This window comes from Homo sapiens, chromosome 6, assembly GCF_000001405.40.
Source record: "Homo sapiens chromosome 6, GRCh38.p14 Primary Assembly".
Lineage (NCBI taxonomy): Eukaryota > Metazoa > Chordata > Mammalia > Primates > Hominidae > Homo > Homo sapiens.
In genome coordinates, this window is record NC_000006.12 from 38579678 (window position 1) to 38605943 (window position 26266).

Below are 26266 nucleotides of genomic sequence, written 5' to 3' on the forward strand. Positions count from 1 at the left end.
ATAATATTCAAAACCAATGAATCAAGTAAATAATGTTAACTCATGGTAGAATACAAAACGACTATTAAAAATACATTTTAGAGGAATATTTTTTAAAGGGTAGAGTGTTCACAATGTATTAATTTAAAAGTAAAATTAGCTTTTTGTATATCTAATCTTCATTTTATAAAACTATGTTTGTGCAGGTTTCTGTTTTGTGTGTGTATGTGTCCATGCATAATTGAAAAAAATGCTAGATACATATGAAGATTAATAATGGGTAATGAGATTACTAGCAATTTTTATTTTCTTCTATGTGCTCTTCTATATTTTCTATGGTTTCTACAATAAACACATATTTTTATAAGAAGAAACAAACAAAAAAGTGTATTTCTTTTAAAGAAATATATCCTTTAACTCCTTCCCCAAAACCAACCTTCAAGAGATAGCAGAATGATCACAAAGAAATAAACCATCATATCTGTAAAACAAAAGTAGATGACCACAAAGCTAAGTCATCTCAAACATAATGTCAGTTTCTAAGTCATGCTAATCACTTACCGGCTATCTCGGTCCCACAAGAGTATCCGTATGTGATTGATAATGGATGGCTGACCTAGCTTAATCTCGATGCCGGAACGGCAGTCATCATCAATTGGGTGCCTTGAAAATCCATGATCCAAATCATAATTTTGAGTATCACCATCTAATAAGGCTGATTTCAGCTCCCCCTTTACAACTTGGGCTCCATACTTCATAGTTGCAATGTTTTCTTCTGGTACTACAGTTAAAAATAGAAAAAGCAAGGTTAATGATTACTTATTTATTCTGTATTTTTTGAAAAAAATACAATTCTAGCATTCCAGTTTATTCTAGTATCTGCATTTAAGAACAGCATAGACAAGTTTATTGGATAGAAAATACAGAACATCTATGAGGATTAAGACACCATTCAGAGGCCGGGTGCAGTGGCTCATGCCTGTAATCCCAGCACTTTGGGAGGCCGAGGCAGGTGGATCACTTGAGCCCAGGAGTTTGAGACCAGCATGGGCAACATGGGAAGACCCTGTCCCTATTAAAAACAAACAAAAAAAATGTTCAGAGTTTAAATGTAATATTAGTATCACAACCACAAAGTGCTTGAGACTAATGTTATTTTTCAAAAGTTAATAAAACTAGAAAAGGCATGTACTAGGACAAACAAATCAGCTCTGCTGAGTTCATTCTACTAGTAACTTTAATATCTACTAAACAGGCGGGGTGCAGTGGCTCATGCCTGTAATCCCAGCACTTTGGGAGGCCGAGGTGGGCGGATCACCTGAGGTCAGGAGTTCGAGATCAGCCTGGGCAACACAGTAAAACCCCGTCTCAACTAACAATACAAAATTAGCCAGGCGTGGTGGCACATGCCTATAATCCCAGCTACTCGGGAGGCTGAGGCAGGAGAATCACTTGAACCTGGGAGGCAGAGGATGCGATGAGCTGAGATCGCGCCATTGCACTCTAGCCTGGGCAACAAGAGTAAATCTCCGTCTCAACAACAAAAAAATCTACTAAACAAAAATAGCATGTAAGATGACCTGTACCTGCCATCTGGACTGAGGACAATGTATAAAAGCAAAGCAAACAGGTCAGAAATCTGTTAAAACAACAGAAAAAGAAAGGTTCCAATATAGCATAGCTGTTAGTTATATATGAATATGCTGAAATTAATTAATCTAGCTTATAAAACAAGATCGTTTAAAAAAGATATCTTTTTTCTGCACTTGAGAATTTTTAAAAATGAAAATTGATAGTCTGTCATCAAAATCAGTATTATGGTTATTATTAAATCCCCTCCCCTCACCAACATTAGATTTATTAACCACCAATTGTGCCTGGGACTCTGAAGTCCTCCGTGTAAATTATGCTTCACAGATGTGGAACCTATCTTCCAGGTACTAACATTCTAAAACTGACACTCTCCATGGAAAGACAAGAGGCTGCAGAAAGATATTAAGAGCTTGAAGAGTCAGAGATTAAACAGTGGCTCCACATTTAGCCAGGTGCATCACTTTGAAGAAGTTTCCCTCTCTCAACTTCCATTTCTCAATGGGGTGGGGGGGAGACCATATCTATCCCCCAGGTGTTTCTGTTTAAGAATTAAATGAGATGATGTTTGTAAAGCATATTATGAGCTCTACTCATATATACATATATTTTCAAAATATACAGCCATTACTATTAAGAAAACATATTAAAAAGCACACGATAAGAGAACTATGTATGTTTACAGACTGTAAAAAAATACCGAATTCTCACAGTACACATACATTTTGGTTGTGTGATTTGAATACGGGAAAGTCTGGGCTATAATCAGGTTATTGGCAAAAAGATAGTAATTCATCATTGCAGATTTCTGGAAAAATTTTTTTTAATTTCAAATGAAGATGAGTAAAGAGAGTGGCACCAGAAAAGAACAATATATTGCAGCTGAAAAATGGAAGTTTAAAATGGAAGCAAAAGACTGTAGCAACCCAGCAAAAATAAACAAAACATCCTAGTTATGCTTAACTTCTTACCATCAGAAGTTTAAGTGCTATCGATTTATAACTTTCTAAATTCTATTAGCGTGTGATAATCACCCATATTCTTCCTATTTAACAAATCTTCTATAATACATGACGTGCTAGACACTGTCCTAAGCACTTTGCAAATATTAATTCCTTTGACTTACTCCTCATAATAATCCTTTGAGTACAGTACTATTATTACATCCATTTCACAGATGAGAAGTGGAGGCAGAAAAAAGTTAGACAGACTTACTTGTCCCAGGTCACAAAGCCAGGAAGTAGCAGAGCTGAGATCAGAACCTAAGCAGTCTGCCTGCAGAGGCCCTGTTTTTAACAGAATATTCTGCTCCTTCCCTCTTGAAGGGTTTCTGATGAATGGCCATACCTTCTCCCTCTTTCTAACCCCCACTTCCCTCTAAAATTGCCTTAGACCCAGAGGAAAGAAACAAATAGTATGATATAGGGGAAAAAAATGTTAAAGTGAAAAAAACCAAGCTTAAGATTCAGGCTCTATCATTCACCCCCCTTGAGTAAGGCCTGTTAGTCTCTCTGAATCTGCTTTCTCATCTAAAAAGAATACTTTGTCCAACTGACCTCATAGGGTTACTGTAAAAAATACACTACAGATAAAAATTACACTACAGATAATATATGCTAAAGTAACATATAAAGCGCTCATTCAGTATTCAGTCAAAAGGCATTTTTCTGAGGACTCATCCTGTACCAGGCACCATGCAAGGTATCGGGAAGAATTAGTGAACTCGACAGAGATAGGCCCTGCCCTCCTGACACCTCCAATCTAGAGAGGAAGTACTTTATAAGCAAGCAAGCAAACAAAAGCTTGAAATCCATGCTATTCAGATATCAATGATGCATAACTACTTGGTAAAAATAAATGTGTTTTCCCTTCTTACTAGGCATAAAAAGTGGAGGTGCAAAGTCTGTTGCTGCTGATCCCTGGAACCATCTCCTGCAGTCCTGACACCACAAGTCAAAACTAAGCCAAAGGCTGGGCACGGTGGCTCATGCCTATAATCCCAGCAGTCTGAGAGGCCGAGGCAGGTGGATTGCCTGAGAGGTCAGGAGTTGGAGACCAACCTGACCAACATGGTGAAACCCCATCTCTACTAAAAATACAAAATTAGCCAGGTGTGGTGGCATGAGCCTGGAATCCCAGCTACTTGGGAGGCTGAGACAGGAGAATCACTTGAACCCAGGAGGCGGAGGTTGTAATGAGCTGAGATGGTGCCACTGCACTCCAGCCTGGATGATAGAGCCAAGACTCTATCTCAAAAATAAAAAATAAAAAAACTAGGCCAAAGACGGGAACATCAAGCTCTCAGATTTAGAATCTAATGCCACTTTTGGATTTTCTCTAAACATAAGTTTCTTCAACACTAAAACTTATGAAGCTAGGGGTAACATACCAGGCACAAGAGTTTCAAGTGATTGTGACTAAAGTCTAAAATGGAAATGAAATTTCTACCACAAGTCTAAGTCTTCTTTTGAAGTTTATTTCAAGGGTACTTGAAAACTTTCCTAACCATTCTTGATACAGACAGATTCATTCCCTGAGAGTATTTTTCACTTCAAAACAGAGAACATCTACACAAGTGGAAATTCTCTCATGGTAACTATATGAGTATCTCATTGGATAAAAATATAACTCCAAGAATTTTTCTGCAAAATCCATAATTAAGTGATGAATATAATAGGAAGAATCATCATGAGAAAATTCAAATCATAATAAAATAAATCAAACCATAAATATTCTTAGTGCCTATATCTGTCTATCAGTAGAGAAAAAAAAAAGCTCTTCAAAAAATACAAAGTGCTGGCTGGGTACAGTGGCTCATGCCTGTAAACTCAGCACTTTGGGAGGCCGAGACAGGTGGATTGCTTGAGTACAGGAGTTTGAGACCATCCTGGCCAACATGGCAAAACCCCATCTCTACTAAAAATACAAAAAATTAGCTGAGCGTGGTAGTACATGTCTATAATCCCAGCTACCTGGGCAGCCAAGGCAGGAGAATCACTTGAACCTGGGAGGTGGAGGCTGCAGTGAGCCAAGATCATGCCACTGCACTCCAGCCTGGATGACAGAGCAAGACTCTGTCTTGAAAAAACAAGGTGATAAAGATTAAACAAGATAGTAGATAATCATAATTTTTTACACATAATTTTTAATGCATAATATTAAGCTTTGAAATTCTACAGCTAGGTAGAGATTGCTAATTATTAGAAGGAAAAATTAAGGAGAAATGAAGCAGAATGTACCCCTAGCTACACAGTGCCAAAATCTGAGAGGAGTGCTGGGTTAATTACCTTGTGCTTTTCTTTCATTGCTTTATGTTCTTAATTATCTTTTATCGAACTCTCTATTACATGTAGGTTGACATGGTCATTCGCCCCAGTGGATTATTTGGATCCAGACTTAGTTCTCTTCCCAAAGCAATCTACTTACCCAATTCTGTCACCTAAATCATTTTCTACTCCCCATCCCAACTTCCCTAGAAAATGTATGGATGCTCCCTTCCTGTGAATAATCCCCAAGAACTGCAGCATTACAAGTGACTTTCTTGACAATTCCTCACTTACCTTAACTTTACCTCCCCCTTTTTCCCACTCTCTGCAGGCCTCCTTTCCACATTTGACAGTACTGGCACTCAAACATACCACAGAATGGAAATAAAAAAGAACCCAGGCAGAAGAATCTATGGAAGAGTATTTGCTTGGTGAGTCAGAAGACCAGCACTTTGGTTCCAGTTCTGGCATTGAATTCACTTGGTAATTTAGGCAAGTTACATAGATCACAGAGCTGAAAGGGACCGTCATCCTATTAAATTAAAAAAAAAAAATCCTAGGGTGCTTCCTATGTGCTGCTCACTGTACTAGACTCAGCCCTCCCGAGCTCACCATCTCAGGAGACAAGAGCATGTGTACCGACACTACACACTCCCATGGAGGAATACTCATTAGAGATGATTTATACATCCCCTATTTACAGATGATAGTTTCTCTAGCACAATAAACTATAGTTGGGAAGATACAAATAGCATCTTCTATCTTTGAAGATACAAAGCCAAAGAGTTTTATTTATTTTACTTGTATTTTTTTAGAGACAGGTTCTTGCTCTGTCACCTAGGCTGGAGTGTGGTGGGATGATTATAGCTCATTGCAGCCTCAAACTACTGGGCTCAAACAATTCTCCTGTCTCAGCTTCCCAAGCATCTGGGACTACAGGCACACACAATCACACCCAGCTAATTTAAAAAAAATTTTTTAGAGACTGCATCTCACTATATTGCCCAGGCTGATCTTGAACCCCTTGCCTCAAGCGGTCCTCCTGCCTTGGCCTCCCAAAGTGCTGGCATTACAGGTGTGAGCCACTGCACCCAGCTCAAAGAGCTTTGAAAGTATTAAAGGTTCACTGTTACTATTACTGTCTTTATGTGATAGATGAGACAAATTTAAATTCTAGTTTAGAAGCCAGGGATGGATTCATTCAGCCACTCATTTATCACTTAGCAAAACAAAAGTCTAGATTCAGGCACTGTGCTACTAGGTAGGTGCTTGAAAAACAAAGGCAAAACAACATAATTACATTGTTCAAAAAGCTCAACCTAGTATAAGAATCTAAGCAAACAAACCAAGAAATATAATATCACAGTTGCAAGCTCCCTCAGTCTGAGGAAACTATAGGGATAGGTACAGGGTAAACAGGACAGACCACACACACACACACACACACACACACACACACACACACACGCATATTTATGTGTTAACCAATAATGTAACTTAGCAGTCCTATGAACAGATTGACTTTTTATTCAATAAAGATATCTTGAGGATAGAATTTGTGATATGCTCCCTACTATAAACATTCAGAAACAAGAAATTACTCTCTTTCCCCAAATCTAAAACCTGAGATATACAAAATGAAATATAACTCAGCCTTAACAAAAAAGCACTAACTTTTTAGGATAGATAGAAATATCTCCACAGCTAAGACAAAGCTAAATGTTTGGCAGAGGTACAGGTAGTTCAAATATCCTAAGAAAAAAAAATTCATTAAAAAGTTAATTCTCTTTCCCCAGCTGTATAGAAAAATGTTCATCATTATATATGCATAAAACTAGTCTAAACTACCTTCCAGAAAGACCATCACAGATAAGTTTAAAACACTGTTTGGATCTTTTTTTTTTAAGGGGGAAAAAAAATCCCTGTAATTTGGTAAAAGCCTTAGGACATGCAGCTCTAAGAATTAAACTTTACAGTAACCAACGATAATAAATTCAAAGAAAAAGCATTAGTCTCTATATCCCAGTCCCAAGATAAAACCTCTCTACACTTCATGAGAAGTCCCCAAAGACACAGAATCTACATCCAGATTCTGAACAACAACAACAACAAAACCAAATTCTGTCAATAACTTCAAAATAAACAGACCTATCTTTTCAAGTCGTCAGCCCAGGAACACTTCTGAAATTTTATATCCTTTTTTTCCCCTAACAGTGAAGAAATTTGATAAAAGAAAACAATGTCATGAATGTTAAGATAACATTTACTGGCCAGGCGTGGTGGCTCATGCCTGTAATCCCAACACTTTGGGAGGCTGAGGCAGGTGGATCACCTGAGGTCAGGAGTTCAAGACCAGCCTGGCCAACCTGGTGAAACCCCATCTCTACTAAATATACAAAAATTAGCCAGGCGTGGTGGTGGGCACCTGTAATCCCAGCTCCTCGGGAGGCTGGGGCAGGAGAATCACTTGAGCCCAGGAGGCTGAGGTTGCAGTGAGCCGAGATTGTGTCGTTGCATTCCAGTGTGGGTGACAAGAGTGAGACTCCATCTCAAAAAAAAAAAAAAGGATAAAATTTACTTAGAAAATAACCTATTTTTGGAGATTGGGTGGGCCCACATGAGCCTACAAGTGAGGTGCAGTGGCCATGGAGGGCAACCGAGGGGTCAGTGACCACAGACTCCCTGCAACACCCCAGCCTGGCGGCCTGACATCGGCCCAGTCAGTGGAGACCTGTGGAGAGGTGGCGGTGGTGGCCTCCACAAGCCCTCTTTTTCTAGGGTTGTATAGATAGAACATCCTGGAGTCCACCATGAACAGACAGTTGGACCTAAGTGGGAAGGTAATCATGAAAGCTCAACTTGGGGAGGATATTCCAAAAATTCCTATTCATAATGAAGATATTAATATTACTTATGATGAATTAGTGCTAATGATGCAACGAGTTTTCAGGGGAAAACTTCTGCGTAATGTTGAAGTAACAATAAAGTATAAAGATGCAGATGACGATCTTATAACAATTTTTGATAGTTCTGATCTTTCCTTTGCAATTCAGTGTAGTAGGACACTGAAATTGACATTATTTGTTAATGGCCAACGAAGACCCCTTGAATCAAGTCAGGTGAAATATCTCTGTCGAGAACTGACAGAACTTTGAAATAAAGTGAATCACTTATTGGATAGCTTGGAACCACCTGGAAAACCAGGACCTTCCACTAATATTCCTGAAAATGTTACTGTGAATGGTAGGGAAGAAAAGCCTGCTTCTTCGGATTCTTCTGGAAAACAGTCTACTCAGGTTATGGCAGCAAGTATGTCAGCTTTTGACCCTTTTAAAAAACCAAGATGAAATAAAAAATAATGTTACGTCGGCATTTGGCTTAACAGATGATCAGGTTTCAGGGCAACCCAGTGCTCCTGCAGAAGACTGTTCAGGAACATCTGACAGCATTGCCGCCTCCTCCTCAGTAGCAGCTCACCCACCAGGAGTTCAGCCACAGCAACCACCATATACAGAAGCTAAGATACAAGCAGGTCAGACTGAAAGTCAGCTGTATCAATAGTACCAGCAACAGGCTAGCTATGGTGCACCGTGTCTGCGGGCTCTACCTCAGCAGCCTCAACAGTATGGTATTCAGTATTCAAAAAGCCAGAGTCAGCAGACTGGACTCCAAACAACCTCAGCAGTTCCAAGGATATGGCCAGCAACCAACTACCCAGGCACCAGCTCCTGCCTTTTTGGTCAGCCTCAACAACTGCCTGCTCAGCTGCCACACAGTACCAGGCAAGCAATTATCCTGCACAAATTTATACTACCCAAACTTTTCAGCCTACTAATTATACTGTGGCCCCTGCCTCTCAACCTAGAATGGCTCCAAGCCAACCTGGGGCCTATAGACCAAGATCAAGTTTTACTTCACTTCCTGTAAGTAGCATGACCCCTCCTCCAACTGGGCCTAATCCTTATATGTCCTCCCTTTGGTCAGGGCTATACCAAACCTGGACCTGGTTATCGATAACGAGGCTTATCTACACCAATTAATGTAGCTGCTAGCTATTGGCCTCCCAAAAGACTCCAGTACTGTTTTAATCTGTAATGAAGTTCACAAATTTTAAAAGCAGAGCATTTGTTATATCTTTGTTGCTGTTAATTGAAAGTATAATTTGCTGGAACACAAAGACCAAAATCAAAGTTCTTTCCTCCCTGCTTAAAAATATAGCAACTTCTTAGTTATTTTGGAACACTACTCTTACATGTATGTAAAGTGATTGACCTAGCTTCCCTTGTCCAGAGGATATTAAAATGCTAGTGTAAGGTTTAGTCATCTTACTTGGCTTTCTGCTATTAACATGATGTACTAAAAGTAGAGCCCTTTTAGAATACGACTAGATGTCATGTATAAAATGTAAGACTGATAGATTAATAAAGATGATTGAATTAAAAAAACCTATCTTTTCAGGGTCTGACAGGGAAGTGTAATGCTTCCTTGTATTTATATTATTGATTTTATTATTCACATGCTTTAAAAGTCAGGAAAAACAGACTTACTTAATCATTACTCAAGTTCAGAAGTTAGATAAAGGATTCCCAAACATTTACATAGTCTCTTCCTTGAGCTCCCCCTCATTCACTTCAAAGTGAAGAATTTAACATTGATGAACAACAATCTGTGTATGTGTCATTCCAGAACTGAGTGACTCAACTGGCTAAGTTCTCCCTTTCGCAACTCATCTCCTGAGTTTCTTGTAACCCAGGTACTACCCTTATACTGACCAGTTGATCAATTCCAAACTACCAGTAACCATGTGAAATGTCCAAAACAAATCCTCACTCCTGCAAACATGTCCCAAGATTATCCCTATAATGAATCCAGTTCTAGGGCCTTTTCAGCACTTCAAATCAAATGCAGGGCAAGAGAGGGAAAGGAACTTATATAAGACAGGATCCGACATGATAATTTGAAAAGCCTAACACTAATTACTCATCTTACTACCTCTTCACTTGCCATCCTCCCACACTTTATCCAAGGCTGACACTTAACTAGTACCATTCTCTAGCACCTCTGATTTCTTCCTGGACCTCTCCCAACCTGATCTCTCTAGCTACCATACTATTTTTTTACTACCTTACAATCCAATTCACAAATCAGACAGACAATATGTTATCTCTATTATCTTTTCAAACATCCATGGCCTAATTCCCTGGCAGCCAATCTTCTGTCCAGATTACTTATCAACTAATCACAATTTATATCCAAAAGTTGTCTCTCAATTTTCTTGACCTCCCTATCGTGAGCTACCATTGACCATTGGATCCATAGGAAAGCTCTCTCCTCCGGTTGTCCTCTGTAACTCTATTCTATCCCAAATGTCTTCCTTCTTCCTTCTCTACCTTAAGTCCCCTGGCAATAGGTTTTCTCCAAGTTTCAGACTTTGTTTTTTACTTCTTTTTCTATACTCTAGCAGCTCAGGTTTCAACTCTTTTATCACCAGCTTTGACTGGTCCTAAAGAGTAATGTGTTCCTATTTCCTATTAGACATTTCTCCCTGCATTCATTCACTAAGCATTCACCAAGCATTCACCAATTACCCATTATATGCTATTTGGTGTGTTAAATGTTGAGGATATAGAGATCAATAAGGCCTATAAAGATCATCTCTGCCTTCAAGGATCAAAGACAAGTAAACAAAAATGTTTAAAACAATGTGATCAAGGTGGTAATTCTCACACAGATATACACAGAAAAAAAAACACATCATAATGATATATGGTAACAATGGTTTCCTATATTGAGCTTGCACACATTATTTTAATTAAGTCTCATAACAATGCTAGGAGATATAAAAGGTAAAATTCCTTAAATAATTTAATACCAGATTGTACAACTAGTAAGTGACTAATTCAGGATTTGAAGTCAAATTTGTCTGGGCCAAAACCTATGTTTCTTCTCCTATGCCCAGTGAAAAGAAATCTAGACCTGATAAGTCAGGAGAGAATTCTGTTAAGAACATCTATTTAAGATCAATCAGTATTTCAAGAGAATGTTTAAAGGCATAGTCAAGAAGAGATAACTCAGGGAAATGACTAGTTTGGGACAGAAGTTACAACTTGCAACCCCAAAACCCTCAAACTCAATCTAAAAATCAAGCTCAGCATCTTCTTCAAAGAAGTACTGTACTGTATTTCATTACAGACATACCTAGTGTTCAAATTTTTAAATTTCTGAAATCGCAGTGTAGACATCATAGTGTGTCACAGTTAATTGGCAGTATTGTTTCTTTTCTTAGTGGAACATAAAATAATGGTGCCTGAGAATTTCTGGCTTCTTAGATTTGATAACAAATGGTAACTTTCTCCTAAACTTAATCCCCACATTTATATCCCTTGAATCATCAAGATCTATTTTTTTCCATTGTATCCGTTCTAATCATCCATTATTTTCCATTTTCCCTGCCACCAATCTGGTTTGAGGTAGTATCAATTGTGCACAGATTAAATACTCTCCTCACTGGTCTCTCTGAATCAGTTTTCCCCTATTCTAAATACTCAAATACAGCACTATGGATCAGTCTTTCAAAACCACCACTGCATGCATGCCACTCTCCCTCTCTCAAATTGGTTCCTCACTGCATGTAAGGGAGATTCCAATCTAGTTTCCAAGACTTCCATAAACTGGCCTAAGCTGACCTTCACATAGTTTCTTTGCTATTAATCAATAAAAGCCTTCTACTCTAATCAAGCTCTTCTATTTATGGTCTCTTCAAATGCTCTAACCTCTGTCTATTAACCTCATGATTCTTCCCATCTGAAATTCACCCAACTCTTATACTATTCAAATCAAATGTCAAGGCTCAACTCAAGCTTCATAACCTCCATGAAATCTCCCTCAACCATACCAAGCCACTTCTTCTGAAGTTCTATAACATGTACTCCCTTGAATATTGTTGTATTTAACTTTTCATGGGAGTTTATGTCTTATTTCCACAATGAAATTAAAAGGATCAAAGGCAGAGACTATGTTTAACAATTATGCAGCATAGTTTAGTGGTTAATTACACAACTTCTGGAGCCAAACTACATAGGTTTGACTCTCAGCTCTGTCATCTTTCTGTGTGACCTTGGGCAAGTTACTTAACTTCTCTGTTTCAGTTTCCTCATTGTGTAAAATGGAGTCAATAACAGTATATACCTCAAAGAGTTGTGAGAATTAAATCGTGTAGGACCTGTTCTTGATACATACTATGCACTCTGTAAGTGTTAATTGCTATAAATCCATTAATAAGAAAAATCACCACTTAAGTGGTGATAAGTATCATAAGTGTTAGCTACCTTATGTATGTATGTTACATAAGTGTTAGCTATTATTATTGTTATTTAGAATCTCCATGTTCAGCCGGGCGTGGTGGCTCATGCCTGTAATCCCAGCACTTTCTGAGGCCAAGGCAGGTGGATCACCTGAGGTCAGGAGTTTGAGACCAGCCTGGCCAACATGGTGAAACCCCGTCTCTACTAAAAATAAAAATTAGCCGAGTGTGGTGGCGGGTGGCTGTAATCCCAGCTACTCAGGAGGCTGAGGCAGGAGAACCGCTTGAACCTGGGAGGCGAGGTTGCAGTGAGCCGAGATTGCAACTTCCATTCTAGCCTGGGCAACAAGAGTGAAACTCCATCTCAAAAAAAAAAAAAAGAATCTCCATGTTCATGGTACCCAAAATAATAAGTACATAGAATGTACTCAGTATTTATTTGATGGAGGAAGGAAGAAAAGGTCTTAACATGAGCAGCAGCTTTTTAGGAAAGTGTCCATTTCTGACATTCTGGGGAGGAGTTGAGAAATCTGTCCAGGAATGGCAAGAAATACCTATTTGGGGGTCTACAAAAGCTAATCAATCTCAGGAGGAATTAACAGGAAAATGAAAGGGAAAGACATTCCATAGGCTAGCTGTTTATAAACGTACATATTTCATGTACACCTGCACTACACGGTTCTGTAGTAGCTTTGCGGTTTTAATGGCATGAGAGGCATACCAAGCTTCTTGGTTGAGTTTAGGATAGACAGGTACTTACTGAGCATGCCTCTATAATTGAGGTCCATATCCCGGCTCTCAGATCGCACTTTAATGGCATCCAGGATGGCATCAGGAGACAGCAGTCCTGAAGGCCTCACAACATTCAGAAGCTCTGTGAGGCTCATGAGAGGTAAACGCACAGCCTGCATGATTTCAGCATGATTCTCCTTTGAATTGTGCTTACACCAGTTTAATAAGGCTAGGAAAATATCTTTTTCGGGAGCTGCAAATGAGTCTCTTAACACGATGTTTAAAAGTGCTGTCTGAAAAGGATAAAAAGGTAAAATTCCAGTTATATGAAGTTCAACCACTGCATGACCAATCAGTAAAAGCTTACAGGACAAGTATAACTTAGCCAATTAACTCTTTTTGACCCTCTCCTTCCCTTATGCTTTGTGCCACATATTCTCCTACTCATTATGGCTGTGTAAACAACCAAGACGGTAGCACCATTCTTTTATGTTCAGGTATCTTGTACCACTACATCAAACATTTAATCTTTCCAAACACATCTGCATTCATCTTTTTTAAAACAGCAAAAAGAAAAACGCCAAAGTGAAAAGCTGTCAATACATTCAGATTCTTCAAGAGAGTGTACATTGTTAAGTTAGAAAGACATATTTGGCATTTAAAATTCAAATTTTGTTCCACAGTATTACTTCACTACCATACTTTTGGCTCTCAGATCTCCAAACTGACCTCCAGGAACAATGTTGCAACCCTCAAAGATCATTGTCTTTAAAAATTAAGTAGAAAAAAATGAAATAGGATAACACAGATCTTAATTTACACTCAAATCAAGATATGTAGCTTTTCAATAGATTTTTCTCATTAGAAATATCCAGGTTCTAGAAGGAACACAACAAGGCAAATGGAGAGACAATCACTACCCAGAGTTCAAAGGAAGATTTGAGCAAAACAGTTTTACTCTAGCTATAATACTGAATTTTAAGCCAGCAAAAAAAGCAGGGACTTAAAGACATCAAATGTTGCATCAGATCTCCTCTATGAATTTGCCTGCTTGCTCTAAGGAATTATTAGTCACACTCTCTGTCAGAGAAAAACAAAACCAAAAGGTAGTATGCAATACCAAAAAGGACCCTATTTGATTGTCACTACCTTGAAAACAACCACACAGCAGCACAGTCTCTTTTGCACATAAAACTTACCTGAAGAACCTTAAAAGAAAACACAACCAACCAGCCCCTCTCTTTTATGATCTAGAGTCCTGGTAGCTAGATGCAAGTGGCTAGACCAGATAACCAATGATAACGCTTTGATACCAATGATTTTTTTTATTATTCTTAGTCCATTGCTATACTTCTACAGTATAGGTATAAATAAAACAATGCATGCCTATAAATTACTTGTAGACAAATGACACACCTTAGAAAGGGAGAGGAAACCTTCACTTGAGAGGACTTCCTGAGCATTCCTATCCATAAACATGCAGCACATACAAGTTAACTTGGGAAGTGAGTAGAGACTGGCAACATCAAAAGTCATGCAGACATTCTGAATGTTAAGTATGGTGCAGAGATACTCAGAGGTAGAATCCTCTAGCTCTGGAAATCCATATTTATGAGCCAGGCTCAAAAAGTCCAGCAGCACCTCCTCCTTCTCATCTGTCAGCGTTGCCCGCCCAGTGTAGATATATTTGAGTAGCATTGTGAATGCTTCTGCAGTGGTGTCTTGGAGAGGAATTTCTGCTTCAGGCTGAGACTCTCGCATTCCACCATATAATAATGCTCTGCACATCAGGGAAGAAACACATGAAGAAACCCTCAAATAGGATTTGCTACAAAATATTGGAAATAACAGTTATCAACATTATGCAAATATAAATTTTTTTAATGACACAAAGATCCAAGTGAAAAAATGCAAAGTAATCATTTAAAATGGTTCTTTACAGGACACAAGAGGAATGATTTTAAAACTATTTGAATTAATTCTGTAAGCCACTGAACTAATGAGATACTCTGAAAGCTCAAGATATGTGACAGATATTAAATAGAAAGATGAGAGTGATCTTTTGAGAGGCACAATGAAGTTGATATAAAGATGTTAAAGGTCAATAAGGCAATTTAAAAAGTAAAACTCTATAGGAAAAGATATAATCAGATAAACACTAATATGATGCCATTCTCCCCTGTAAGACTGGCAGAAATTAAAAGGCTTGTTAATATCAGTGCTGCAAAAGCAATGGAAAAACATGTTCTTTGATATGCTGCTTTGAGAGTATAAATGGCAGCCCTTTATGGAAAGTAATTTAGTAGCATCTAGTCAAATCTAAAATGTGCATACCCTTCAACTCAGTAATCTCTCTTTTAGGACTCAATTCTAGGGAAGTAATACAGTAAAGAAAAATGTGTAAGAAAACATACTGAAACACTAGTAAAAATCTGAATGTCCATCAGCAGCAACATGGTTAAAAAAACTGTGATATACGCATTCTATGCAGCCATTAGAAAGATCAAGGGAGATCAACAGGTACTGTTTTGAAAACATGTCCAGGATATGGTAGGCAAGTAAATAAAATTGCAGATCCATATGTACTGCATTAAAAAAGTACATAACCAAATATTTACATGTTTATGCACATATGTCTACATCGGTATTTCTTTAAATCAAGAAAAATCAGAAGAAATTCATATTAAACTCTTAACATCACTTATTTCTGGGAAATGGTATTAGATGGCTGGGAGACAAAGACTTTCATCTGTTACTTTATAAATTAAAAATGAAATTACTGATAGGATTACAGTGATTTTTTATTTTTTTCCTTTCAGATTAAACAAAAAGCCCTACATTATTGCTTATCTAAAAAAATGAAAACTAGACAATCCAGTTAGGTAATGAATTTGAATTTCTACCTCTATCAATCAAGAGGAATAATATGAACCAATTAAACTTCCAATCTATCAGGAAAGAAAGGACGAAGAGGACAAGGGAGAAGTGCAGAAAAGGGAGAGAAGAATACAGAATGAGAAAGAAAAGATGCAAAAGTGAGAGGAAGAGACTGGAAATAAGAAAGAGATTCTCCGTGTTGCTAAAATTCTCAGAGTAGGACTAGCATTTCAGGTTTACCTACCTGGAACTTGTCCCACCCTCCCCCAGGACCTAGCATTCTTGCTTGCCCCAGAAAAATAGTTGAAACCACCCAGAAAAGATTCATGAATATTCTGAGCATACCTCTTCACTGGGTTATACTCTGCCTAAAAGTACCCCTGAAGGTTTCCATTAATCCAGAGAGCATCCAACCATTACCCTAAAATTACCAAATTAAAGAACTTCTCCTTCTCGGGGAGACCTCAAGACTTATCCCCAATCCTGTATGATCCATGGTATTTATTTGGATTCTCAATGCTTTAAAAGTGGTTTTGATGAGGCTCCCTTGGAACAATAAACATGAACCCCCAACTTCAACAAGGAGACAAGCACAGAGGTTCAATGTTTACTATGAAGTTTCCTCCTATACAATTCCTTATCTGGGAATTGATAGGCTATTATGACAGCACTTAGGCCTCTTCTGACAGCTGACAATTAACATTCCTTTGCACATGAATACAGTCAGCATTGAGAACCTGTCTAAGGTAGCATTGAGCTTAGCTCTAAGGTAGACTTAGAGGTAGAGCTTAGCTCTAAGATAGTCTAAGGTAGACTCTGAGCTTAGCTTAGTGAGCCAGCAAATATTACGAAGGTTCAATATCTACAAAGACATCAAGAACAAGGTCAATAAGCGGGGGGAGTATATTCCATTCACTCAATACGATCTTCAAATTTCTCAAAGTATTTGAGTTTTTTTTAAGGATATACTAATCACCTAAAAGATATCCTCATAGAGTTGTTTCAAATTATTTTTGAAAGAGGACAAGGTACACTGTACTAATAAACAATAAACACAGGCTGAGAAGTTCTGACTTAATAAAAAGTGGGCTCTTGGCCAGGTGCAGTGGCTCAAGCCTGTAATCCCAGTACTTTGGGAGGCTGAGGCGGGCGGATCACAAGGTCAGGAGATCCAGACCATACTGGCTAACACGGTGAAACCCCGTCTCTATTAAAAATACAAAAAAATTAGCCGAGCGTGGTGGCAGGCGCCCGTAGTCCCAGCTACTCGGGAGGCTGAGGCAGGAGAATGGCGTGAACCCGGGAGGCGGAGCTTGCAGTGAGCCGAGATCGCGCCACTGCACTCCAGCCTGGGCGACAGAGTGAGACTCCGTCTCAAAAAAAAAAAAAAAAAGTGGGCTCTTATAAAACACTTTAATAGTAATGACTGGACCAAAATTTTAAAAAGAGGAAGAAATATAAAAGGAAAAGTGTGCAGAGGACAGAGGCTGATAACAAATAATGGCTAGACCAAGGTCGGATGCCTTGGCAGAGTTGACCACTAGGAAGAATAGGAGAGTGCTAGAACTTTTAACAGACTCCTCACTTTTCTAAGCTCCCGGTTTCATCTACAGTGGCATTTTACATGTGTAAGATTGGAAGTTCATGAAAAACCATAGGAGCTCTAGCTACAGAGTAAATATTTCCAGGAGACACACTTTACCACAACATGTCTGACTCTAGGTGTTGCTGTCTTGCTTAATTCTGACTATAAAAGCCAGACACTGCAGTTATCACTACAAGGTAATTGAAATTTTCTCTAATCCAATGGAATCTCCATTTTAGATACCAAGTTTCCCAGATAAATCTATAACTCTGTGAACCATCTTTATCCTTAAAAATAGAAAAAGATCCATTATCATGCATAAATTATAACTCACTCAGTAATTAATTCAGTGATGACTCCCTTTTGACAAATATTAGGTAAAATGTAGAGTAGTTAAAGATCAGCTTAAGATTTATAACCCTGGAAATTAAGGACCCAAGTAACCAACAACAGCTGCATACAAGTGCACGTCTTAGATCTGCTGGGTTACTAACAGCTCCTAGACCTCAAACCAAGGGGTATATGTGTCCATTAGCAGGTCCACAGGGCAGTCTACCTATGCAAAAAGAAGCTTTAGTCCCATTAGCCATCTACTGGGAGGAGACAGTGAGGGCAACGAAGACTTAGCCTGAGAAACATTCTTGAGACCTTGAAAAATGGTTGATTGGGCACTATTTGGTCTGGGAATCCTTCTAACCCTTTAATTTTAAGGTGGCTCCTAAAGGAAAAGGTGATTCTCAAAAAATAACAAAGTCTACAAGGATGAAATCTTCATAGATATTGAATTGAGAGACTGCAAGACTTTGTCATTATACTTGGTTATATATTTTTCATAGAGCAGAAAATACCAGTGTTTTCTACAAGTGAACTAAATTTTCAAAAAAAGTATTACACACTTACCGAAAATATTGGCACCTGGCTGCTAAAATTACCCTGTGGGCAGGAAAACGTTTCTTTTCCACCACGAATGTGACGTCGCCATATTCTTCCCCAATCAACAAGGCACCAATATGTTCAGACAAAATGTGCACATGATCAATTTCCCCCACTGCAGTAAAGGGGCGAAGAGGGTGGCTGTTACTCATCTTGTGGAATAGACGATAGTCGTTGTTCTATCATATAAAGAAGGAATGAGAGTTAGTTGGGGGAGGGGAGTACACATAGAAAATCACTTACCATAAACACAGCTAAGTAAAAATTTAAAGTGCTTAGAAAAATTCCTATGAGAGAGTTAATCAATGGTATCCTTATTAACCCATTTATTTTGAGAAGGAATTCAGCCTGCTTCCCTTAACTGTACTCCCTTCATCACACTAGCAAAGCAAAAATGCCAGATCTCCAAACACTAACAGCACTTGGAGCCATCACAGTCTAGAAAACTGAGCCCAAACACAGGTCTCATATTCCTTACAGTACCTTAGGAAAAGAAAAATCAACAATCAGAATAACTTCTCTTTTACATAGATATATTGAGCAAGGTTGGGTACAATTATACCGAATAGAAAAGTCATTCAGGCACCGATCTAGGCCTAAATTACAAACAGAATAAATGAAATAATCAGATTTCAAATAAGAAGTTTTGGTACGAAACCATCTCAAATATTTCATTTAAAAAAAATCTTCTGGGGCCAGGCACGGTGGCTCACGCCTGTAATCCCAGCACTTTGGGAGGCTGAGGTGGGTCGATCACCTCAGGTTGGGAGTTCAAGACCAGCCTGACCAACATGGAGAAACCCCATCTCTACTAAAAATACAAAATTAGCTGGGCCTGGTGGCGCATGCCTGTAATCCCAGCTACTCCGGAGGCTGAGGCAAGAGAATCGTTTGAACCCAGGAGGCGGAGGTTGCTGTGAGTCGAGATGGCGCCATTGCACTCCAGCCTGGGCCACAAGAGCGAAACTTCTTCTCAAAAAAAATAATAATAATAATAATCTTCTGGAGTCACAAAAATAACTTGACATTTATTAATGAACATTTGCAGTAGCATCCTAAGCTCCCCACATCCAACAAAAGAGTAATTCCAACAGTTTTCTCAAGACTGTGGCTTCTTTTCCAAACTTGTTGCTCTGATGATCAGGCTGCCAATGTTTACCAGAACATCATTACATTTTGTCTCATTTCCAGGCACCTTCCTTGCTTTTGTATACAATGCCTTTCTACAAAATTAACTGAAAATCAAAGGGCTAAAATATGATTAACAGCTTTACGTGTAAGAAAGTGGGGGGTTATAGTCTTAGAAAGCTAAAAATGTTTATATTTTTTAATACCGAATGTACTTGCAGGTACTTAAAAAAAAAAGTTGGTCTTGTTCTGTTGCCCAGGCTGTAGTGCAGTGGCGTGATCACCACTCACTGTAACCTCGAACTCCTGGGCTCAAGTGATCCTCCCACCTCAGCCTGCCAAGTAGCTGGGACTACAGGTGTACACCATCATGGCCAGCTAATTGCAGGTACTGCTTTGATAAGTGTAAGTAACTGGCAAGTATGTCAGAGGCTTGGCTAGCATTCAGATGCCCCCGGTGAAGAGGTAGTTGATAGCTCAGAGGTAGCCAGCTACGCCTCTGCTGCATCAGAGACTAGAGAAATTGAGACAGATATGTTATCTCTGCTAGACCTCCACACCTTTTTGAGCTCTCCAGTTGAACCACAATTAAAGGTTGAACAGCTCTTAATCTTTAAACTCCCACATCCAGATCATTATTAGCAAGGTGTGTCAAAAATAGTCTTTCTCTTCTGTGACTGCAATGGAAGATCTTCATGGACCAAGTTCCGAATCTGCCTGCTTTAGTTAACCTACCACCATATGCCCACCCTCAAAAGGGGGAGCAATAGCAGCGATGCAGAAGAACATGGAAAATGAGCTAAGCAAGAAAACACCTACCCAGGTAAGTGAGCAAAATCCTGGTTCTCTACAGTAGGAACATCAGAGAACTAGCAGGATAATCCCTTAACTGCCAAGGTAAATCCTTCTCCCTCAACTGCAGCCTCCATTTGAAAGCCCTAAAAACAGAATAATCTCTAGTCACTTGTGTATGAAAGACCAAATTCAGCTTAAGAGGATCTATTTGAGAGTATGAGCAAGTAATGTGTGACACAGTAGTCTTAATGTGTACACACAACAACTGTGTAATATAGGAGCTGGAAAACTTTCTATAAAGGGTCAGACAGTACATGGTTTAAAGCTTTGCAGGTTATACAATCTACGTCAAATGATTCAGCTCTATGGTAGGAGCCTAAAGGCAGCCACAGGAAATAAGAAAATGAATAAACATGGCTATCTCCAGTAAAACTATTTCTAGAAAAGACCTAGATTAGACTCGCAGGTCATAGTTTGCTAGCCCCTGGCCTACCCCGTGATCAAGGACTGACGTCAGGGACTGACTGTACCCTAGGCAAAGGATCAGACTGGGAGTTTTTTTGTTTGTTTGTTTCTTGCTGGGTTACCCAGTTGATGTTCCTATGATCATTTCCTATGTTGGTCAGGAAATTCAGAAAGCTACTGGTACCTGACTTCAAAACCTCTTCAATACAAACTCTCACATCACTCTCCAATATTTCAATGATCGTGCATGATTCTAAACAAAACGCTCTTCCTGGCTGAAAAAAAATGCAATGTATATACCCAGTAAATATATTTAATATATTTTCTGGTATATTTTCTTAATATTTTATTGAGGTCATGGCTAATACTCATATTACTTACTAAATGACTCTTGATGAACAACGATTGATTTTTGGTTAACCAGCTCAGAAGGGAAATTTATTTCTTAAACTGATATATCATAAACATTAATATTACATATGTATCTACCATAATAAGTTCTCCAGATCTCTACTTCTCAATACATCTAATTTCATTTTGCTAAACTTGCATTTTAATTATGTTTTTCCAAATGGAAACATGAAACTGTTTCGTGTATAGAAAACAGCCACTTAGGATAAAATAAACACAATTTTATTGGCATACATAAATAATTTTAATTAGACTAGTGATTCTCAATGAGCTTGCCCAACATTGGAATCAAATGGGGAGCTTAAAAACAACAAAAAAAAAGATGCTCGAGTCCCACTCATCAGAGACTCTTATTTAATTAGTCTAGAATGGGGCCCAGGCATTGGAATCACCATTCTGAAGTGATTCTACTAAGCAACCTGGAAAAACAGCCACTGATTTAGACTCTATATTGTTGTAGGTTTCCATCCCTTGCTCAGGTGTACAAGTATACAAAAACATCCACAGAAAAAATTTATTTAGGATATAATTTAATTTGAATCTTATTGCAAAGATGTAAAAGATACTAACAAAGTTACCAATGGCACAGCTTTACGCAGAAAATGAGTATTGTTTCACCAATGGGATAGTTTACCTACAAAGTGATAGTTTCAGTCTACCTATGTGTATTTTAAAAAGTATGCTGGCCAGGCACAGTAGCTCATGCCTGTAATCCCAGCACTTTGGGAGGCTAAGATATGCAGATCATTTGACACCAGGAGTTCAGGACCCTGTCTCCACAAAAAAATTTAAAAATTAGCCAGGCATGGTGGCATGAGCCTGTAATCCCAGCTAATTGGGAGGCTGAGTCAGGAGGATCACTTGAGCCCAGGAGTTAAAGGCTGCAGTAAGCTATGAATGTGCCACTGCACTCCATCCTGGGCAACACAGCAAGACCCTGTCTCAAAAAAATAAAAAAGAAAAGAAAGAAAACCAAATTAAAGTTAAATGGATTAGGAAACAAAGAGGCAAAAAAATCAATATTTGCAGATAATGACTGCCCACATGAAAAATCCATGAGAATCAACTGAAAAAAAATTAGAGAAAATAAGAGGGGTTCACTAAAGTAACCACATAAAATAATTATATGAAAATATCTAGCATTCTTCCATGCCAAAAACAACTAGCTAGAAAATATTAGTAAAAAGATCTGCAATTTATAATTGCAAAACACATGTAACATGTAGTAATAAACTCATAGGACATGTAAGGAAATTATAAAACTCCACTGAAAGATTTAAGAAAAATACAAAGACATAAGTTGTTTGGGGATAGAATGATCCAATATTATAAAAAGATCCATATTTTCAACTTACCATGGGTTTATCAGGACGTAACCATATTGTAAGTCTAGGAGCATCATTTATATAAATGTAGCATTTCAATTAAATGGGGGAAAATAAGGATTTTTTTCAATAAAAGGTATTGGCTAGCCATTTGGAAAAAAGCTGAACAGTCACATAAGAGTACAAAATGAAATATATATGGATGTCAGCTTCAGCACTTTCTGTAAAGCAAAAAAACTGGAAAAAACCCTGAAGGCCCATTTAAAGAGAATTGGTTAAATAAATAATGGTATGTCTATACAATGAAATATTATAAATTATTTAAAAAGAATAAAGTTAGATACTAATGAACAAAAAAATCTTAAGTATGTGTATTTACATGCAAAAGACAATCTACAAAACAATAGTATAGTGAAATATCTTGTTTAAAAAAATACACTGAAAAAGCAAGAATATAAGTCAAATTGTTAACCAAGGGTTAAGTCACTAGACTGGGGCTGTTGGAAAATTTTACATAGTGCACTACATACTTTGTAATGTTTACAAATTTTATAATGTTTATTTGTAGTAAAACTATAAACAAATATGTCAGTAAGTTTGGCCACAAAATTACAAAATAAATTGCTTTGTTTGTGAGATAAGTGTTTGGATTTGCCATAAGCAATAGAAATTGATTTAGTGACTAAGACAGAAATGGCAAGCAGAAGGGCTATGTATTATCTCCACAGAGAAAAAGTAATTAACAACTTGAAGGCAAGGACATAAAGTTCATTACATTAAAACTGGCAAGAGAAAAAAAAAGTTCATTACACTAAGACAGGTAAATCAGATACCTGGGTAGCATGGCCTACTAGGACATTCCATCTGATATATCCCAACTAAAGATCTTCACCTAAGAGAGTTTCAGTCTGACTTTTTCTAGACTTAAGGCAGATTTTCCCAGATGCAAAGTGTTCTTCAATTTGCCCCTACTGACTGTCCTGGAGTCTAAACTTGCTGATCCTCACAGCATAGGGCAAGGGTAATGTATTCACTCAAACTGTTGCCTCAAGGTGGGAGGAAGAACAGTAGGAAGGCAGGGGGACGAAGGACTTACACTGAGAATGGACAGGAATATCTCAACTAGGAAATGGTACCTTTCACGGTACCATACACAATTATTAGTTTTGGATTCTGGGACCTCATATGAATTTACTTACCAGGGATGGTGGCACAGAAACTATACTATTTTTCTTGGCTAGTTAACTTTCATGAATTCAAATGCACTAAAAATCAAAAATGACTAAAGCAGCAGTACTAAAGTCCTGAGGGTTATTGCCTGCTTATTATTCAGTAAGAAACCAACACCCATTTGTTCTAACCAAAATAATAAACAATGTCCATCAATACACTGAGAGTACCATATGTAGTTCATAATGCTGGAACGTTATAATTGCCCCTTAAGGGGGAAAAAACCAAGTTGACCCAAACATCAATTTCTTTACTTAAAGCTCACTTATACAACTGTTTACAAACTTTAACCAGAGCTAACTACATTTTTTAGAATTAAAGTTTATTCTCCAGTGTTTAACCAGGAAATAGTCAAAGAGCAAAGTTCCACAAGGTGGAGACGCCAAAGAGTCCTTGAACACTGTATGAATCTCCCCTGGGAAGCCCTCTCTGCCAGGTGTATTTCCTGACTGAAAAGCCTTTACGGGAAAAAAGACCTTCTGCTCTTTAATTGCAAAATATAAATGATCCTTCTCTTGAGGAAAGAGATAGCATTTACAAGCATATGGTTTAGCAATTTCTTTCTGGTCTTGGTACCCATGTGCTGTGTAATTTGAAGTAGTATTCCTTAAACTTTAAGTTAATATCGCTTGGGGAGATAAATGATGTCCTGTCTGCATCTTAAACACTCTCCAAAAAAAATCACATTCTACTTCTCACAGAAAGGATACTTCACTTCTCTTGATATATACTCTACCCCTGTCATCCAAAAGTCTAAGGAACAGGTGAAGACTGACCGTGCTGCTAGATGTAACCTTGACTCTGATATTTTGCAAACCCAATTCTAAACCTTGCAGAAGAGAATTATCCTCCAGCCAGTAAAGTGCTACGTAAGAACATGACTGGAGTTCACATGACAGGATTCCTGACATACCTTCTTCTCTGGGAAAGATTTTGAATGTCCAGTTAAGCTCCAAAGTCTTGTCATTCTGTAATTTTATGTTTGTAAATAAATGTTTATAAATATGCTCCGGTTTGACCACTAAAGAATAGTATCATAAAAATATTTGACAAAATTATTTTATTAAGCATGCATGTAATTCCAATTACCAGTTAACACATTGATTCTCCACTTCTTTGCCAATGAACAAACTAGTTTCTGAATATGTATATGATTCATTCAATTAAAGATTTATTGAGCTCTCTCTACAATACAGGCTCAGTGCTAGGCGACAGAAACACAAAGATTAATAAAAGTCTCTACTTTTGAAGAACTCATTGTCTACTAAGGAAAGTAGGACCAGATAACAAGTAATGTAAATTCTAAAACTCATAGGGTGGCTATGATTTTATGAAATTTAGAAAGTCAAATACTTCCATAAGTACCATACCAAAACAACCACAAAGATGCTAAATAGAATACTAAATGAACAGAACTCAGAAAATTATCAGTTATATTCTTATATGAGAGTAAGGGTTAATATTCAAATAATTGGCTATGTGCTCTCCAAAGTGGGCTGCTCATATTCGAGGGAGACTGCAATACAAACCACAGGAATTTGGAAAGAAAACATTAACACTTATATTGATGTGTTTGTATGTATTTATTTTAGACATGAGGTCATGCTATGTTGCCCAGGCTAGACTCTTAGGCTCAAGTGCTTTTCCCGCCTTAGCCTCTCAAGTAGCTGGGACTACAGGTGCACACAACCATGCCTGGATTGATATTAATTTTTAACCTAGAAAAATGAGAATAAAAATCAGCTTTGCTAATTCTTTTTTTTTTTTTTAAAGGCAATCTTGCTCTGTCACTCAGGCTGGAGTGCAGTGGTGTGATCTCGGCTCACTGCAACCTCCACTTCCTGGGTTCAAGTGATTCTCCTGCCTCAGCCTCCCGAGTAGCTGGGATTACAGGCGCACACCACTATGCCTGGTTAACTTTTGTATTTTTAGTAGAGACGGGGTTTCACCATGTTGGCCAGGCTCGTCTCAAACTTCTGACCTCAGGTGATCTGCCTACCTCAGCCTCCCAAAGTGCTTGGGATTACAGGCGTGAACCACCATACCCAGCCAGCTTTACTAGTTCTTAGTAAGTGGATGGCACTGCCTCCTTCTCATGATCTACATGTCAAAAACAGTCATTTGTGTCATCAAATAAATAGGTGACTTGAGAGAAGAGTGGGAATTCCACAAAGATGCAGGGCTGAAGGTAGTGTCCTTACTTGTGCATGGGAAGTATTAAGTTAACATGTGCTTGCTTAAGTGAATTTTCCAAAAGTTATCTAGTTTTAATTAAATTCTCTCTCACAAAATGACAAGTGAATTATAAAAAGGTTCCCACAGTCTGGGCAACATAGCAAGACCCCTTATCTACACAACTTTTTGTTTTTAAATTAGCCTGGCATGGTGGTGTGCATCTGCAGTCCCAGCTACTAGGGAGGCTGAAGCAGGAGGATTGCTTGAGCCCAAGAGGTCGAGGCGGCAGTGAGCCATGTTCATGCCACTGCACTCCAGCCTGGGTGACAGAGCAAGACCCTGTGTGATGGTTAATATTGAGTGTCAACTTGATTGGATTGAAAGATGCAAAGTATTGTTCCTGGGTATGTCTGTGAGGGTGTTGCCAAAGAAGATTAACATTTGAGTCAGTGGACTAAGAGAGGCAGACCTA

General features: G+C 38.3%; 1 protein-coding gene and 1 pseudogene across 13 annotated transcripts in view, besides 1 other annotated feature; one reads left to right on the top strand and one right to left on the bottom strand.

Moving 5' to 3' along the window:
• The window catches only part of BTBD9 (BTB domain containing 9), a 471479-nt gene that overhangs the window by 411227 nt on the left and 33986 nt on the right, over nucleotides 1–26266 (bottom strand). For 8 of the 13 annotated variants that reach the window (NM_001099272.2, XM_047418145.1, NM_052893.2 and 5 more), the window contains 4 exons: nucleotides 18233–18444; nucleotides 14287–14650; nucleotides 12899–13163; nucleotides 541–760 (listed from right to left, as the gene is read on the bottom strand). In NM_001099272.2, the coding sequence (NP_001092742.1) occupies nucleotides 541–760; nucleotides 12899–13163; nucleotides 14287–14650; nucleotides 18233–18417 (1034 nt within the window). In that variant the 5' untranslated portion in view covers nucleotides 18418–18444. Of the gene's footprint in view, nucleotides 1–540; nucleotides 761–12898; nucleotides 13164–14286; nucleotides 14699–16092; nucleotides 16391–18232; nucleotides 18445–20212; nucleotides 20332–26266 lie in introns of those variants that run through there. The other 5 variants (XM_047418146.1, XM_011514279.4, XM_047418148.1 and 2 more) reach the window with 3 other exon arrangements.
• On the top strand, nucleotides 7603–9049 carry TFGP1 (TFG pseudogene 1; annotated as a pseudogene).
• Nucleotides 8277–8474: a silencer, noted in NCBI's record as "fragment chr6:38555730-38555927 (GRCh37/hg19 assembly coordinates)". NCBI's record gives its function as "represses an EF-1alpha promoter that drives an FKBP-Casp9 reporter gene in an ReSE screen in K562 erythroleukemia cells {active_cell/tissue: K562}" and the evidence as "EXISTENCE:reporter gene assay evidence [ECO:0000049][PMID:32094911]".